Source organism: Homo sapiens, chromosome 2 (assembly GCF_000001405.40).
Source record: "Homo sapiens chromosome 2, GRCh38.p14 Primary Assembly".
Lineage (NCBI taxonomy): Eukaryota > Metazoa > Chordata > Mammalia > Primates > Hominidae > Homo > Homo sapiens.
In genome coordinates, this window is record NC_000002.12 from 187,439,128 (window position 1) to 187,459,386 (window position 20,259).

The 20,259-nt window shown below is 32.0% G+C and overlaps 1 protein-coding gene and 1 long non-coding RNA gene across 9 annotated transcripts in view; one reads left to right on the forward strand and one right to left on the reverse strand.

Annotated features, from left to right (window-relative positions):
- The window catches only part of CALCRL (calcitonin receptor like receptor), a 106,289-nt gene extending 97,164 nt beyond the window's left edge, over positions 1-9,125 (reverse strand). For all 6 annotated transcript variants that reach the window (NM_001271751.2, NM_005795.6, NM_001369434.1 and 3 more), the window contains exon 1: positions 8,912-9,125. The gene's annotated coding sequence lies outside the window, so the exon portion shown is untranslated. The remainder of the gene's footprint in view (positions 1-8,911) is intronic.
- CALCRL-AS1 (CALCRL and TFPI antisense RNA 1) overlaps positions 1-20,259 on the forward strand; it is a 544,253-nt gene that overhangs the window by 435,855 nt on the left and 88,139 nt on the right. The gene's annotated exons all lie outside the window — the stretch shown is intronic.

Genomic DNA, 20,259 nt, shown 5'->3' on the forward strand with positions numbered 1-20,259 from the left:
GAAAATCAGGCAGAAATCCTTGCACTGGAGCTTACGTGTTAGTGGGTGGCTGGAAAATAAAAAATAATAGCAAGGTTGGGTGCAGTGGCTCACACCTGTAATCCCAGCATTTTGGGAGGCCAGACTGGGCGGATCACTTGAGGCCAGGAGTTTGAGACCAGCCTGGCCAACATGGCGAAATCCCATCTCTACTAAAAATACAAAAATTAGCTGGGTGTGGTCACGCTGAGGTAGGAGAATTGCTCACACCCAGGAGACAGAGATTGCAGTGAGCCAAGATCATGCCCCTGCACTCCAGCCTGGGCAACAGAGCAAGACTGTGTTTCAAATAACTAACTAACTAAATACTAAACAAAACAAAACAAACAAACAAACAAAAAACCAACAAAAAAACAGTAAATATGTAAATTATAGTAGATTGGTGCAAGATGATTAGTATTACAGGAAAAAAGGACAAACTAAAATAGATAAAAAAGAAAAGAGGTCTGTGGTAGTATAGACGTAGGTTGATTTTAAATAATCATCGATGTAAGCTCTTTAGAAGAGTTCACATTGGAGCAAGATGGCAGGGTGGTGAGGGACTTAGGTATATGGATATCTGGAATAAGAACATTTTATGCTAGTTGAAAGAAACCCACAGGTAATTCTTAATTCTCCTTTAGAAAATGTGCGTCTCTTTCTTTAAATTGGTGGCAAATGAAATCAGAAGTACTGGCAGTAAGTAAACTTGTCTAGAGGTGAAGGACTTGATAAATGGAAGAAGAGACATTTAAAGCTGGAATACAAGATCTATAGGTCCATAAGTAAGGAAGATTAGCATTCTTTTCATACTCAGATGATAATGTGATGCTTATGTAATGTAGAGAAAAAGACAAATAATAAACTTAGAAATTATTCAAATAAATACTCCCTCATACTATTATTATATTACTATTATAATCTTATATCAATAAAATTATATGATGCACAATGATCTTTGTTCCTTACCCAAAATTTAATTTCATTGCAAATAGTTTTTAAACTGGAATGGATATACTGTAGTAACTGATGTCCATATGCATATTAGGTTGAACTAAAATGTCCAGACGAAAAAAAAAAGCATGTCTGTTATAAAGACTGTTTCCCTTCCATGTTGATAACATCACGCAACTATTTCTGTAAGGAAAAATGTAGACCAGAATGTAGGACAAGCCTTGAAGTCTAAACTATTTTGAGTAATTAGGGGTAGAATGTTGTCAGAGTGTAAACATCTAACATCTTTTATTTCTTTTAAAAAAGCACATGCCATTTCAAGACCTACATCATAGTTAGATTTAATGAAACATTGAGATGGAGTCTCCCTTTTCTAAGTTAGGAATCCATTAACTAAATTTATTTAACTTATTCAGACCTCTAGCTTAGGAAGCCACAAGTTATATTTAAGGTTTTGAACATATGCAGTCTTTTATGGTACTGGAGTCAGGAAAGTTGAGAACTTGCTCAACGAACTTAGCTTTCAGGATTAGTATGGAAAATTACACATTTAATGGATGTTTTTGAAGAATGCTTGTGTTATATCTAAACTCAAATATAAAGTCTTTGTTAATTTTGGTGTGTATTTACTTTGAAGGAAGTAGACTGGAATTTGGTTCATTAAATATAAACATATATTAATTTTATGATCAAAACGACTTTCACACTGATAACATGGAACATAGAACAGGAAATCCTTTTGGAAAGTGCATAATTAAGGAAGTTAGCTATTGTTAGAAATTCAATTAATTAAAAAATTAAACAATATTTAGGAAAATCATTATATGAATTTCACTCCTGCCAGGTTGTTCCAGACCTTAATATTTGCTCATATCTCATTTGAAGGCCTTCCTATCCAAATTAATGAAGACAAATATTCATCAAAGCTTTATTCTTAGGAATATCACTTTCTTTAACCTTGGTATTTGCAATGGAATTAGACACAAAAAAATATTTTTTGTCAAAGTAAGAAAGGTAAAAAATTATATTAGAAGCAATTGAAAGGGAGATATTTCAGAATATCTTAACCAAGGAAAACATAAAATTGCGAACACAGTGAATCTGGTTGTTGTTTATTTCAGGTTTTTTGATGTTTCATCAATAACTGAAGGTTTGCTACGATAATAAATATATACATATTTATTATATGTATTTGATTTATCTAATTTTTCAGACATTAAGAGATCTGATTTACCAGGTTTTGTCATTTTAGAAAACACTCTAGTTAAGATATTGAGTCTTGATCTTGTGACAAGATGAAAAATAGAGTGGCAGCCAGTATGGATTAAGACTATACACTTTGATTGGAATTGTCTTTACATAACATGGAAGTGGTGGTGTTGTTGTCCAGAGCAGGAGACCTGTCTTGTTGGCCTTCGACACCTAGCATAGGGCCAGGCACCTCATAAGTACCTCTTATGAGGTACTTCTATGGACCATATTGTTTAATCCTAGTATCCCCTAAAGGAAATAAATGTATAGTCATATGAGTTAAAATATAAATATTCTTTGACAGAAATAAACTCTGGGATGAAAAATCAGTCTGCTTCCTTCCCCCAAATGAAATATACTGCAATATTACCAGATTTTAATTTGTTTAGAAAAAGAGCAATTTTAGCATACAGGAAAATATGCTACTCTTGACCACTTGAGGCCAGAATGCAGCTATTGGGCCTATGGTTTGGAAAAAAGTGAACGTTAGACAGGCTAAGTGAGAAAACTTAGTGGAAGGAGAGGGATACCAAAAGACAGATGGAAAATTACCAACTGCAGATTGTACTTACTGTATAGTTTTTCCTAACGCCCTGCAACTCATGCTGTCTGTCTGCTGGGAAAACTCTTGGCCATTTGTTTCTGATGTCCATGTCTGTCTTTTGAATTCTGTTCCTTACTCCTTGATCTATAAAAGTATCTGAGGTGGCTTAAAAACATTATATATATATATATATATATATATATATATATATACATACACACACATATACATATACATACATACACACACACATACATACACACACATATATACGCACACATATATGTGTGTATATATGTATACATATACGTATATATATATTTTACCTTATTTTATAAGAGTAACTGTCACGTGAATTACCTGCAACATGGGTGTTTAAACTGAGAGTTGAAGAACTCTTAACATAGCTAACAAAAAGGAGATCCTATGAAACTCATGCAACTGTAAGCAAAATGAGAATCCCTTTGAATGTATTTTTTTTTAATTTATGGAAAAAAAGGTTTTGGTTTCATTACATTCTCAATGTGGGTCTTAATTTATAAAATATTCAATGATAAATTCTTAAAATGAATTATGTTAAGCCAAAACCTAAATTTTTTTTGCCATCCTATTGCACAGGCACTCTTTCTTTGTATTTTTGAAATATAATAAATAAGAAAATATAAGTGTCTTCCATTAGGTGGCAGTAATAAGTTCCTATAATAAGAACTTTAAAAAAAATGGTCAAAAACAACTTGGAATCCTAAAAGCTGAATTTATTGGATCCTTCTTAATGTTCTCATTTTGAGATTGTGGAGCTGCTATAGTAATCAAAACTAAAATTTTCCGACAGATGTCTACATTTATCTCTACTGTAGTATAGTCACACAAGTAGCAAACAAATTTGTGTAAATAAATTTACTTTTATTATCTTGTGTTAGAAGAGATTCAGTTTGGATTTGGTGAATCATATCACTATTCAACTTTGCACAACTTCAGTAATGAGAGGTCTAATAATAGATAATACACAATAGTATAATGAAATATTTAGGATGTAGATTCATAATATATGTAGGATAAAACCAGAGTTTTGTCAACGAGGATTGTGCAACTTTGGGTTTCACTGAGTTTCACATGTAAAGAAACGCAATAATTTTTGTTTAATATACCTTTTTAAATTGTTAATATGCAGGTATTTTAAAGTGCTCAAGTTCTATGGAGATAGTAATTATCAATATCAATTTTATTAGGTTCTGGCATGTATTGTATAATGGCAAAAGGATGGTCACTGTAACAACTGTAATTATAAATCACACTTGTTCACTCTTCCTGTCTTACAGATAGATTGCATTCTGTTTATCCGTATGGGTGTTGATTGTTTGGAATAAAATTTTGCATAGAAACAAATTATGTCCTCAGTCTCATTCACAACAGACTTAAGGTGAACATGAAAATTTATTGAATATGTACTAAATGCCAAGTGCTAAAAAATTTCCACGTGTTAATTCATGGATTACTTACAAAACCTTATAAAGCAATATGATTATCACTTCCACTTTATGGATGAGAAAGGGGAACTAATAAGTGGTAAATTTTGGGTTCTTATGTGGATGATCTAAATCCAAAGCGCATCACAGTGTACTTCTATAAATACCATATACCTAAATTTCTAAAATAAATGCATATTTTTTCTTAATTTATAAAGTACATTGGTATATTTGTAGAAAAGACAGAAACAAATACATCATTAAAAGTAAAATTTTAAAGACATATGCACATTGACTAATAAAACAATAAACATGTTACTCTAATATTGTTTCCATTACTAAGTACAAAATAAAAATCACAGTTTTGTATTGATGACATTCTTTTCCCATGGTTTTAACTCTCTTTGTCTATTATAATGTTATTTATTGCTCTCTGATACTTACCAAAGTTTCTATTTTTCCTTCAAATTATCCTTGGAAGAAAGGCAAAATTGAGGTGCATATGCAAAATATCTGTGTAATCATTGGTCTCAGTTTAATTAGTGAATGCGGGTTCAAATTAACACTCATTTGTAAAATTTATGAATTTGGTAGTTGGATACAAGAAAAATTTATCTTCATTTTGGTTAATAAAACCAAACCTGTGTGCTCACGAATATGCTATTGATCCTCCATGTGACTGCACTGTAAGGAGATGGGCACTTATAAACCATCTAGTTGCTATGTAAGTAAATCATTGCAATTTAACATACCAAATGATATGCTCAAAATTCACCATAATTTCATGAGAAACATAAATGAGCTTAGGTTAGCCTAAGCCTGAATAGAGAAATAACTACAGTTTTATACAAAAGTTTATGTCATATTAACACTTTTTAATTCAAAAAGATATGTTCCATGTTAAGGGAAATAAGATTTGTCTGAAAATTGGGCTCCATCCAGCAGTGTTAATAAAATATAAAACTATAGCCCCAATACCATAGGGGTTATTTATGTATTCATTTTGGCTTATGCTAGATTGAACTGGGTTGGGATTTTTGTCTTTTTAATTTTTAGTAATGGAAAAGGTGTATAACACATTTAATTTAAACCATGAAAACATTAAAAAATAAAACTTGCTTAACATTTCAAAAGTAAATACACTATTTGGGCCATTTTTGCAAACAATAATATTTTGGTGTATTAGTTTTGAATAATACTGTCTCTTAAGTAAACAAACTAATTGAAGAAAAAAATGGAAGAAATGTGTTTTAGGAAAATATTTGCAACTTATTACCTGATAATAATTCTAGTAACCTAGGAAACATAGACCCTAACTCAGTTCACAGGCAGTGATACTATTTTATATTTTTGTAAGAAGAAGTAAGACCTTATTATGTCCTTAAAAATTGAATACATTTCTTCTCTTTTTTGTAATATAGCTTATTATAATTAAATTAATTTGATTTTAAGATTATTCAAATAAGGAAAAATGCAGAGATTAATTGACCTAATCTAATTTACATGGTCCATGTGAATATATGGGAAAAGGATAGATCCATCTGGTTAGAATGTAGACTTGTATTTCTGGTAAGTTTTTATTTTCCACCTATTTGCATCATAATATTTTTGTATATTAAACGAGAAGATGTCTTGAAATAATTTGTAATCCAGTATGGTACATGTACTTTGTCAGAAAAATAGAACATACCTGAGAAATTATGAATGTTTATAGTTTACCCATGGATTTGAAAACCAGATACAGATAAATGTTTTAAATAGCTGTGTACCATTTGTCTATCTTAAGCGTATTCTCCAATATTCTGATTAAGTCAAAACTAAGATACGTTACACACTTGACTCTCATAAGAGCGTCTTTCATTAACACCCTTGCAATGATAGCGCTTGTGTTTATGGTTTAATAGCTTCTCTGAATGCCAAGCATAAGATACGCAATAAAGCAAAAGATTTTAAATACTATTTCTTGAACATATTTGTATTGTGAAAAGTCGATACTGTAATCATTATATCTCCAAAACCAGAATTATTTGATAAAGCTGTATTAAAAGTCATATATAGAGTATGAAATAAATTTTGTTTAGTGAATAAGTTTTTGATCCTTTAAAGATTATTATATTTTTTCTATAAAGATCTAGAACAATCTTTTAAAATTAAGTTACTATCAAACTTTTGCCATGTAGATAAAATTGGTAGCAAAATATTTTTACAATGTTTCCAAATATGATCTAGTTAGAAATATATAATGATGCTATTAACTGAAATTCAGTTAGTGTTTATGTGTTTATCAAATACTTTGTCCACATTAATCTGTAAAGCAAACAAGGTAATCATTTTACCTTTATATTATTTTCAATTTTTTATGAAATTTTATTTCTGTTATGCATGAAAAAATAGTATAATATGTGCAGGTGAACATAAATATTCTTACAAATATGCTAAGTATTGTCTTCATTTAAAATTCATTACATGTTCGGAGTCACCAGTGAGAAAACCATATGAATCTTGCCCATTCATTTAAAATAATTTTTAAAATTACAGACCCAGTATTATTTTAAACAATGTTTTTGTTATTCCAATTTTTCAAAGTGAATGAACAGTTTCATATATTATAAAAATCTACATATTTTAACTTTTAGTATAATGCTTTGGTATGTAAGATAGAAAAAAAATCTTGTAACAATAATCAAAAACATTATCTCTTTAAGAAATAGAATATTTCAGGTAAAACATATTTCAGCTCACATTATTCACATACTATTTCAATTCTATGTTTCATTTTACATATTTAGCATTGACTGTAGGCTCAATGCATTGATTTTATGATGCTACAAGGAAACATCTTCTAGCAAAGTAAATTCATTTCTTTATGGCTAAAAGCATGCATTGATATTCTGATATTTTCTTATCATTAAAGAAAGCACATTTTGAATACAATAATATGAATTTTTATTTCAAACTTCCAGTTATGTCCTCAAATATTTCCTTTGGCTAATGACCTTCAATGTTCATCGCCTAGTGTTTTTCAAAAGTATTTTTGGAAAACAAAGATTATAAACCATACTGTTAGTAAACTCATAAAAATTTAATCAAATTATACAAGAAAATTATGGGTTTGGGACTAGCAATTAAACAAAAATTAAGGAAGTTTGGAGAGTTTCTCATTATAAAATATGATCATAATATAATACCTCCTAAGAAAATAATCTGAATTAAAAATAATGTTGTTTTAATTTTTGTTACTAACCCACGTCATTGGGTTAGTAAATGTGTTGTTTCCACTTTCTCCCCCATTTATATAATGGCTAAAGTCACATTCTAAAAACACTTTTCCCATTTCTACACATGTGTCAGGGAACTCAGTACAACTGAAGATTGAAAAGAGAGAGAAATCAGCCATGATACTCTTAAAGAATCACAAATCTAAGAATTAATTTAAATTTTCATTATATTGAGGAATTTGTGGAAAAATTGAGTTGTAAATTACTGAGGAGTTACTCAGGATGTTTGTAGTCTATTATTAATGTGCCAGATATAAGTGATTAAGTACAGGATGCTTCCAATGCAGGACATCTTGGAAAGTATAATTGCATTTAGGTAAGAAAATATATAACTTAAAAATCATATCTATCAACATCATTTAAAATTTGACATCAAACTTTCTCCAGCAACAAATTTGTGATATATCTACACAAACAATTTATTAAGCAGACATTAGTTTCTTAAATTGTTCAGGACAGTCTGTACTATCGGAATGAGCATTAACAGATGTTTTATCCAACATTTCAGTAAGTTCCATCCTGGAAATTCTTTTTTAATAAATACTTTAATTTCTTTGTTTAATCGTCTAATATACTTCTTTGGGAAAGCTGTCACGTTTCTTTATCCACAGATATCGTGGTATCACACCCCCCTCCAAAAGCTTGCAGAGGGGAACCAGTCAAGTTGAAGTATTCTCTTAAAGATTTCAAAATTAAGAATTGTTTTAAAAATCTACATTTCCTAAACTCTAGGTTTTTTTTTTTCTTTGTAGCCGACACCATGATCCAAATAAAGAGCAAACAGTTCAGGGTTAGCAGAAGAGAGATTTAAACACATCTGGCAACAATGAACACAAAAATTAGTTCAGTAGTTACAGATATATGTGTAAATAAAGGTGAAAGGCAAATAAAAGCAAATGTAATAAATACAAAGTGATTACTTTTCAAAACTCTGCATTATGATCAACCACAGAGTAAGTGAGACTCCGAGACCCATTAAGTAGTTATTCTTTCACCTCTTTCTTACAGCTGATAACATGGAAAGTTTAAAGACCCTTCCGGGGGGAGAAATGTTTTCCAGTTGTCAAGATTCAAGCTTAGCTAATATTAGAGCTAATTTTAAAAGACATTGTTCTGTGATTAAGGTATTTGTTCAGAAATATGTCTTTTAATCCATTTAGATTTTTAATACTTGCTAAATTTATTTTCTAGAATACCATGGTAAACAATATTATCTAGTAGTATTAGATTTTGTATTCATGTTGGGGTAGTAGGCTGTATTTTCTCTAGCATGTGAAATAAGTGAGACTATGTTTCAACATTATTTCAGTGCTATCTACTAAATTCTATAATAGAAACATTGCCAAACTATATGAGAATACTACTTAGAATAAATATATTTATTTTGAATGTGCACTTACCCAGTCCAGCTCTTAAGGAAATTCTTTGTGAAATATTCTCAGGATGGAACTTTACTTTCTGAGATTCCGCAGAAGAGATTTACCCACAAGCAAGGTGGGAAAGAGTGAAAGCTTTGCAATGTGATCCTGCAATTAGGATGAGATTCAGTTAGCAGAGCTTGATGGTCCTAAAGCAGGAGGTGACACTCTCTGCTGGAGAGAGAGAGGTTGTTCTGAGTAGATTGTAAGTGTTGTCAGATTGTAAGTGATCAGCAGCAGAAGGGAAACATCAGAGCTTCCTGTTACATCACTCTGACCCCGCCTGCAGTTAGTGTTAGGTTACTTTCTTTCTCAAATAGCATACCCCAGGAAAGCAGCACTCCTTTCTTATTGTGAGACAAGAGCAAGAAGCAGCCTGAACAGAGAGAGATCATAGGCTGTGTGAATACATTGTTACCAGTAAAAAGCTGGCTGGCTTTCACCTTGACTGAGTTCTGTTAGAACTTGCCAAACAAGCTACTTGTGATTTGAAGGAAATCTGAATATAGTATTCTGCTCAAAGAATCAAAGGAGTTAGGCGTGTGTGTGTGTGTGTGTGTGTGTGTGTGTGTGTGTGTGTTGAATTATAGCTTACAAAGTATCCAGGAAAAAAAATCTAACAAATCTGTGTTCATAGCACAACACAGAAAAAAAAATTAACTGTATTCATCATAACTGGTTTTGTGATTTGGCTCTTCTTAATTTGGAGCTCTGCTAATTGGGTGCTGTTCCTCCATCAGTTCCTAAGTGCAGTTCCTAATCAGTTAATTAGATCAAGAAACTTTATCCTGCAGTTTTTAAATCTTTTATTTTTTCCTTTACCTTCTTCATAAGAACATGAGTGTATGTGTTATAAATTCAGGTTGTGTATGTGTGTGTATAGAGTGTTTCTTTTATAATATATAAGTATATATATTTGACAAAATAGCCTTTTGAATAATTCATAATTTTAAAATTATTGCACACATTTAAAAATATTTGGTATAATTATGTTATTTATAATATAAAATAATTTATACCACAATATTTGTAAGTCAATATAATCTTAAAGAAAATATAGATGTTGTAAACATAATATTATAAAATAATATAAATACAAAGGATACTTTATTTCTTAGACAAAATTTCATCTCAAAGCATAGTTTTTCCTGAATATGTTTAATACATCATTGGATATGATCAGGGGAAAATGTAAATTTAAAATGCTTTTATCATTTTTATAATTTGGTAAATGTTCGATATGAAGCAATAATTATAATCCCTATAACCTAAACAGCACTAAAAGTCACTTAATTTATCAGGGCATAAATTTTCTCATCTATAAACTAGAAGAGATAGATTTTATGTCTAAGGCTTTGAATCGACAAATTTCATAACATTTTGAAATAGATAAGATACGGTGAGGATCATTCAACTCTTAGTAAATTGTTAGTGCAATTCCAGGATAAAATGAGGTGCCATACACCTTGTAGGCAGACAAAGGAGGTAAAGGCAAAATAAATTCAGGAATATCATGTTTTTAAAGCAGGGTGCTCATGTTGACATTTTTATTGTCTGAATTAGTGGAAGAAAATGTTTATACAATCTTTGATTTTAAGACCAGTGAGATCAATATTGATTACAAAATACAGACATATAAAAAATAGATATACTTTCATCTCTATAATTATGGTTAATAGAAAAGACTTGTAAGAAACTGAGTTACACTGGTGAACCGGTTCTGATACTGTCTGGTGTGATCTTGACAAAGCTTTTTAGGCTTCATGTTCCCATCTTGAAATTCAGAGAAAAACAAATACTAGATTTAATATGAAAGTAATAATGGGTCATGTCTTCTCATCTTCCATGCTAAGTGTAATATATGAATCCTATAAAGAGATTAATATATAGTTTTTGAATTTAATTAAATCATGGAAAACTAAAACTTTTCCCAATATGTTTATAAAAGCATTGATATTTTCGTCTTTCCAAAGATTCATTTTTCTTTCTTTCCTTCCTTCCTTCCTTCCTTCTTTCTTTCTTGATGGAGTTTTTGCTCTTGTTGCACAGGCTGGAGTGCAATGACGCAATCTCAGCTCACTGCAACCTCCACCTCCCGGGTTCAAGCAATTCTCCTGCCTCAACCTCCCAAGTAGCTGGGATTACAGGCGCCCGCCACCACACCCAGCTAACATTTTGTATTTTTTTGTAGAGACAGGGTTTCACTATGTTGGCCAGACTGGTCTGAAACTCCTGACCTAAGGTGACCCGCCCACCTTGGTCTCCCAAAGTGCTGGGATTACAGACATGAGCCCCTGCGCCTGGTGAGATTCATTGATTTCATTTGCCCAATACTAGTAAGGTCTACTGAAGGAAAAAAATTCATGTTTTGAGCTCATGTCATAAGACCCTTAATCCAATGCTCTTTCTCTTCTACTCTCTATCAAGTGCTATACTTTATGGGGTGTCTAGTAGAAGTTGTATCATTTATATTTAAGTTGACGTACACATGGGCCCATGGCTGTAGTCCATGAAGACTCCTTGATAAATTTTATTAATATCATCTTTAATTCTTATTTAGACATAACAGGAAAATTGCATCCTAGTAATCCTCAAGAGCTGCCATTTTATAAACTTCAGAAAAAATAAATGGTACAAGGACTTCCAGGAAGGCATTCAGGGTATTCTAAGTTATGTAGGAGCAAGTGATAAGATAGATCATAAAAACTTCTCTAATACCTACTGAAACATGAAGGCAAATGTTTGGAAAACTGTAGCAGAGCTAAATGAAAACATTTCAATAATCAATGAAGCAATTTTGAGCCAACGTGGCATTATATGGATTTATATATTATAATCTTTCTTCAGAAGACATTAAAGCCACTTGCAATAATTTAATTAGTAGTGACCAAATTTGTATTTTGAGCTAGGTAATGTGCTAACTGTGTTTTAGTGAGATAAGTAAAAATAGAATGTTCCCTGCTATCTAGTCCTTTAATGAACAGATTGACTAGCACATGAGAAGTCAAGGGCCAAATTCTGTGAAATTAGCAACTGATGCTGCTAACATAGAATCTAGAGGTAATGATGCAGAGCACTGCAATAAGGTTTTCTGTAGAAGTGAGGAGTGGTGTATAAGTGTAGAAATATATACATGTAATGATGGACAGTCACACATTTTCATTTTAGCATCCTACATGCAGGATTTGTGCTTTTATTTGTGCTCACACATAAGGCTCACAAGCGACCTTTTCTTCCAATAGGGGATACTAGTTACTATGTCAAATGCAAGTTGACTCAAAATTAGGAGTAGGCTAACTCCAAGTTTCTGGGCTACTGTTTATATTGAATATGTTAGTTAAACCAGACCAAAATGTGGTTTGACAAATTTAATTTTCTACTGACCAAACTGACCACTTATTTTGAATTTGTATGGATACTGCCTTGGAGCATAATTCTTGCCACAAGAACAAACAAAATAAAGCAGAACACTTTTACAGGAAATATATTAAGGACAGACTTTCCCTAGTGAGAGTGCAAGAACAAGTCAAAAGAAAGACTTTTAAAATAATTATTCTGAAGTTTTAAAAGTTATTATTTTATGTTAATAATTCTTCTGTGTTCTTAATTGTCTGAAAGCAATTACTTATACTTGGTGATAATTTATGCAGTCAGCAATATTATATATAACTTGCCTTATGATAAATGCACCAATAATTTGAGGAGAAACACATAAACTTTACATCAGAAGCTTATATGTTTAAAAGCTTTACATTAAAAAACTACTTCTAGCAAGGAAATAAGTTGACCCAACCTTTTATTATTTTACCTAGCAATTGCTGTTAGCACTTTTCAAGTTGCTTTTCAAAACAAAAATAAATTGCATTTAGTAAAAGAATCTGGGTACAATGTCTGGGACATGAGAGTGAATATGCTATTATCTATTACTAAAACCAAAGGGCCGTTTTTCACTTTAATTGGGCACATAGCTATCATTTTAAAGAAGATTACAATATTATTTTAAAAATAGTTACTATGAATAAGAATTTGGAAGGTGCAGAAAACTATGTTTGAAATGAACAGTATATATATCAGGTCAGATATACAGAAATGTATACCAGGTTAATATACAGATAAATAAAACTATTTTATAGCCTATATGTAGAGTTTCTTTCAGTATTTAATAATGTATTTTCTCAAGAAAGCCAAGTAACATAAAAAATAATTGGCCAAACATTTGCCTATTTTAAAAATTCTTATATCCTGATGGATTTAGATCTTCCTGCGAACTTAGTATTTTCTTACAGATATTCATGAGTGTTGGAGGGGTGGCTATTGCTAGAATAAAGTGCTAGTACTGGCTAGTGAGCTATGTCATGGACTAATTCAAATGGATTTTTAAATCCAACAAAATTATAAATGCTTACTTTAAATGGGAGTACACAATGAACTTTCTGAGGGGAAATACCTTCAATAGAGTGATCATATGTCCTAGTTTTCTGGGGCAGTCCCAATTCATAATTTCAGGCTCAAAAATGCTCTGGTTTGAAGAAAAAAATATTATTCAGTATATGGTGAACTTAGCCATACTTATCAATAGAGCAATGACAAGTAGCACATAAATACTAAGAGTGTGTGAGTAATTTATTTGGGAAACCCAAATCTTCTTTCCAGAAGAGTTTAAAATAGTTCTTACTATTTCTAGGATGGTTTTAGTTAGCATCAAAAAAGATGCCCTTTTTAATTCTGGATATGCATTTAATGTGGATTTATTCTGAAATGCCTCTTATTTGCTAAATATCAATCTTGATTGTGAAAATAAAAGGTTTATTTATATTTGTATTTAGGCATTTCGACTTAAGTAGTATTTGATTAAATGACCAATCCCTATATTTTACATAAATAATTTAATCATTAAGTTCTAAAGATGCCAAATAGTATTCATGTCTTTCCAGTTATAACGAACTATTTTCTTCAGCTATCATCATATTTATATAACTTGTAAAAACATTAGCAACTTATATTTTTATTTTCTTTAAAAGCTTATTCATATTTAATGTTAGTCAATAACATACAGTGAGACTTTAAACATTAATGACTATGGAACTGTATGTAATGCATATATTGAAATGTATGATGGATTTGCCTAGGAACCCTTAACACCTTTGAGAAAGTGTCACATCTTTCTTTTTACAGTTTTGAGGAATCTATAGTGTCATCCTGCCATCTAGTGTTAGACATTCTCAAATTACAAAAAGTTGTTCTCTGACCAGAATAAAAATGAAATTCTATTGCTTTTTCTCTAATGAAAAAAATCTCAACAACTAGGGAATATTTCTAAGAAAACAGTCTATGTACTTGATAAATATAGTTACAAGGGGCAGGTACTTAATGTAGACTATACAAATTAAAGCCCATATAGTCAATGGAGAATATGTATTTCATCGAATTTTAAGTGCAAAGGAAAACAATGATGTAATAAATGTTAAATCACAATGTAATTTTAAAATTACAAATTAAGATGGCATACCTTCTTTTGTCTTTCTATGTATTTATCACTCCATCTGTATTCATGATTCAAAGCTAGAGATGGCTAGACCAAAGAAGACTAACTCCTACATATCTGATCAGGAATACAAATCAAATCATTGAAAACTAACAACAGAGTGATAAATGTCTCTCATGTCTGATAAACAAGGCTCTCACTATGTTAAAGCATGGAAAGCATCTGTTCCACCACTATCTGTTGGAAACAAAATCAATCATTAATTCACTATGATCCTGCTCTGGCTTAATGACTCCCACCCTGCTAACATTGCCATAGCCAGTAACTACTTGCATTTGCCACCTGAGGGCATGGGAACTGGCCCACCTAGTATGATGTAGCTCCTCCTAACACCAGTGTATACTATTTTGAAGCCTAAGGATTGTCTCACTACTGCTACTGCCATTGCCCATGCCACACATGATTCCCAGGGGACTAAAAGCCCACCCACCTGCCTTGCCCAATATTATCTCTGCCACTACCTGAGGAGAGTTGCTTGAAAGCCCCCAAATTAGCCTGTTTGCACCTGCTAACATTGATGTCCATGTGGGCTAACCAGAGACCCAAGGACAGGAACACTTGGCCCACCACTGCATCCACTGGGTCCTGAGGACTGGCCCAAGCAGAGTCCCTGTTCCCAGCAAAATCTCACCACAGCCTGCAACAACAACTGCAGCCTAAGCCACTGAGGAAATCACAAACACCACTGATGTTATTTGTAGCTGCAGATATTACACAGAGACTACATTCTCAAAATCAAAGCTAAAGTGTCCTACCCAACAAATACCATAGATATGTCTTCAGGAAAAAGTCTTCCCCTATGAAAGCCAGTTCAATGGACAAAAATAGAGAACCCAGAAATATATTTACATATCAAACTACCATCTAGTTTTCAACGAAGGCACCATTCAATAAATAGTACCAGTATCCAGAAAACTGGATTACCATATGCAGAAGAATAAAACTAGACCCCTATCTCGTATCATATATAAAAGTCAACTCAAAGTGGATTAGAGACCAAAATATAAGTCTCAAAACTGTAAAACTACTAGAAAAAAATAGGAGACACATTGATCTAGTTAAAGATTTTATGTATAAGAAGGCAGAGGCAATAAAACAAAAATAAACAAATGATACTATACTAAATTAAAAACTTCTGTATAGCAAAGGCAACAATCAACAGAATAAAGAAATAACCTGTTGAATGGGGGAAAATATTTGCTACCTTTTCATCTGACAAGGGACTAATAACAGCAAAAACTAATAACTCAATTAACAAGTAGGCAAAGAACATGAATAGACATTTTTCAATAGATGACATACAAATAGTCAACAGATATATTTTTAAAATGCTTATTATCACTGATCATCAGGGGAATGAAAATCAAAACCACAATGGGATGTCATCTTACTCCAGTTAGAATGGTTACTATTAAAAAGACAAAACACAATAGATGTCGGTGAGGATGTGGAGAAAAAAAAAAAGCTTATGTATTGTCAGTGGGAATGTAAATTAGCATAGCCATGATAAAAAACAGTATGGAGATTTATTTAAAAACTTAAAAACAGAACTACCATATGATCCAGCAATCCCACAGTATTCACAGGAAAGGAAATCAGTTTATCAAAGAGATATCTGCACCCTATGTTTATTGCAGCACTATTCATAATAGCCAAGATATTTAATCATCGTAAGTGTCCATCAGTGGATGACTAGATAAAGAAAATTTGGTTTACCTACACAATGGAATACTACTTGGCCATAAAAAGAATGAAATCTTGTCACTTGTAGCAACATGAATAGAACCGGAAATCATTATGTTAAGTAAAATAAGCCAGGCACAAAAAGTCAAATATTGCCTGTTCTCTCTCATATGTGAAAGGTTAAAAATTTGATCTCCTGGTGATAGAGACTAGAATAATAGTTACTAGAGTCTGGGAAGGGTGGGTGGGGGATAAAAAAAAAAGATTGGGTAGTGGTTACAAACATACACTTAAATACAAGGAATAGGTTCCAGTGTTCAAGGGCAAAGTAGAGTGACTAGAGTTAACAACAATGTATCATATATTTTTAAATGGCTAGAAGGGAGGACTTGAAATGTTCCCAATATAGGAAAATGGTAAGTACTCAGGTGGTAGATACTTTAAATACCCTGACTTGATTGTTACACATTCTGTGCACCTAACAAAAGACCATATGTACCCCATAAAATGTGTGACTATTATATAACAATTTTTTAAATATGTGGAAGAGGCATCAAAACAGAGTCTGCTACAAAGGCTGTTGCAGGTAGGCAACACTTGCTCAAGTGCTATACTTGGATTGCTCCTAGAGCTTGGAGACCAGTGAGCAAGAAGAGAGACACATATGTGTACATGAGGACACAGAATGTAGGGCCATGTTGACTGGGGTAAGGAATTTGTATTTTACTCCATGTGCAAGGGGTCATATAATCCAAAGTATGTTTTAGGAACATGCTGGTGGGTCTGGATGAGGTTTGGGTCAGGAGAAAAGTACAAAAACTTTCTCTAGAAATTTTTTATGACTTTCTACAAAGTATTAGTTGAAGTTAATATCCTTAGTTTTAATCACAGTCCCTTATATGTGATACTCTTAAAATTCATTTCTCATGGCATTTTTAGATTCAGAAAATAAAAATGCTACAATTAAAAGGCTCTCTTTTTTGGATTAATTGTAAGGAAGGATAAAACTAAATTTGATTTTGGATTATGTCAACTATTCTACAGTCATATGTCACTTAATAATCGGGACATATTTTGAGAAATGGGTTGTTAGGTGAGTTCATCATTGTGTGAACCTCATAGTGTGTACTTACACAAACCTAGATGGCATAGCCTACTACACCCGTAGGGTATGTGGTGTAGCCTATTGCTTCTAGGCTACAAACCTGTACAGCATGTCGCTGTACTGAATACTGTATAGGGCACTTATCACAAATGGAGCTTGCAGGACTAGAAGCTGCTCTGAGTGACTGAGTGGAGAGTGAATGTGAAGGCCTAGGACATTGCTTCATACTACTGTAGACTTTATGAATAGTGTTCTCTTAGGCTACAATAAATTTGTAAAAAAATATATATTTTTTGAAACAATAAGCTAACCTTAGCTTATTGTGTGTCTTTTACTCAATAAACTTTTTAATTTATAAAAAGTCAAATTTGATTTTAAAAGTTTTAATTTAAATTTTTGAGCTCTTTTATAATAACACTTAGCTTAACACAACTTAGCAAAACACAAACTTAGCAAAACACAAACACGTTGTACAGCTATACAAAATATTTTTTCTCCATAAGGTTTTTTCTGTTTTTAAAATTTATTTGTTTTTACTTTTTAAAGTTTTTGTTAAGAATGGAAACACAAACACATGCATTAGCCTAGGCCTACGCATGGTCAGGATCATCAATATCACTGTCTTCTACCCTCACATCCTGTCCTACTGGAAGGTCTTCAGGGGCAATAATACGCATGGAGCTGTCATCTCTGATGATAAACAATGCCTTCTTCTGGATTGTCGTCCTTCTGAACAGCCTGAGGATGTTTTACAGTTAACTTATTTTTTAATAAGTAGAAGGAAGACACTCTAAAATAATAATGTGGGATTTAGTGACTTACCCCTATAATCCTAGCACTTCGCAAGACTGAGGCAGGAGGATTGCTTGAGGCCTGGAGTTCAAGACAGTAGTGGGACTGTGTCTCTTAAAAAAAAAAAAATTTTTTTAGTTGATGGTGCACATCTGTAGTCCCAGCTACTCGGAAGGCTGAAGTGGGAGGATTGCTTGAGCCCAGGAGTTCAAGACTGTAGGGAGTCGTGATTGTACCACTGCACTACAGCCTGGGAAACAGAGCAAGACTCTGTCTCAAAAAGACTCCAAATTGAATAAGTAAAAATTAAATACAATAACAGTAAAATGTATAGTATAATAAATATATAAACCCATAACTTAATTTTATTATCATTATCAAGTATTGTGTACTGCACAAAATTGTGTGCACTATTCCTTTATATGACTGGCAGCACAGTAGGTTTCATCAGCTTCACCACAAACACAGGAGTAATCTGTTGTGCTATGACATTACAACAGCTAGGAAATCATTAGGGAATAGGAATTTTTTAGCTCCATTATAAACTTAGGGGATCACTGTCATATGTGTGGTTCATCATTGACTGAAATGCAACTCATGACAATATTTTCAAGTATTTAATATCTAGTAACACTGATGGGTCTCTGCTTTATTTTAGAGAAAGTGGGGACAGAAAAGTAGCATTGTTGAAAACCAGGATTGTTTCCAAAAATATGCTTTTTAGATATTTTCTTTATTTAATTCTGTGGAGATTTTATTCCCACTTTTTAGGTGAGGGAACGGAATCTTAGTAGTTTACTCCACTGGAAATTGGTAGAACTGAAACTTGACACTCTAGGTGTTTCATTATTGAACATGTCTTCCTTCTTTACAACATGTTACCACCAATATTTCATTATTTGAAAAATATCTAATTTGGTAAACTATTTCACATATTTTTGGAAGATAATTATATAAATTCTATGCCAAATTATATGGGTTATTGGGTCTTCAGTTAGATAATTCCACACTGAGAAAAAGAAAATTGTGAACATTAGCAAAATAGAAAAACATAACAGTTTTCAGCAAGTTCACATTAAAACATTAACAACTAACTTGGTCATTTTTCTATTTTGAATTCTGATGTCTATTCAGATCATAAATTTCCATTATTATTCATGTATGAATAATGATATAGGTTCTGAATATTTGGGAGGATGACACAAGCAATAATGATGATCATTTTTTAAGCTTTTAAAACTTCTCAGGAAAATAAGACATATGCAAATATTTTAAGATGAGTTTTATATAAATTTGTAAATAAAAAGAACAATTTACTGATTTTTGCCCTTTTAAAACCCATGTTAGAAAAATTTTCATACTAAAAATCTATTAGCACTTCCTAGACAATTATGTCAAAAAAATTTTTTTTAATTAAAAGTTATCTAATGCATATTTTTTACCTGTCCCTTAATTGATCCTGTTAACAGTACAACTACATCATATTTGTGTTCATTTCTCATTTTATAGAATTACCTTAGCAGACAAAATTTACCTCAAATTTTCTACTTTGACTTGTGATTGCCTAGCTTATTTGAATAACTATTATTACATCTCAGAGACTGTATTCTAAAACATTGAAATATTAAACAGTCAGTAAATTGTATATACCAAATGCTACCATTTTATTGAATCTTTACTATGTAGTACTGTACTAAGCCCTCTTCTATGTATGCTCTCATTTGCCCTCACAATTATTTTACAGACAAAGCAAGAGGATTGATATGAAGGCCTATTGAATTCAAATCTAAGTTGATTTGAATCCAAACCCTGTATTCTTTATCATCATATTTGATTTGGTATTTGATTTTTCTCCCATTATAGTCATAAAATAGTCTTCATGTGCATCTGCCAGTTTATTAACAACCAGTGGAGATGAGAGAAACTGTGGAATGCAGTGGTTTTAAATATTTTCTCCCTAATTAAATGACTCTGTATGTGTGTGTGTGTGTGTGTGTGTGTGTGTGTGTGTGTGTAGCTTGTGAAGAAAGAAAATAGTTAATAAAGAATATGTAAAGAGATAAATAAAGTTTCCTAACATATACAGTCATTAGCTTTAGAATTTTAAATACTTTCTCATTGAACAGTGGCAGAAACTTTCAATAAAAAATGGTAATTGTTTATTTCGTCGTCTCTGGAGTAACAATTTCTTGGCAAGATGGATCA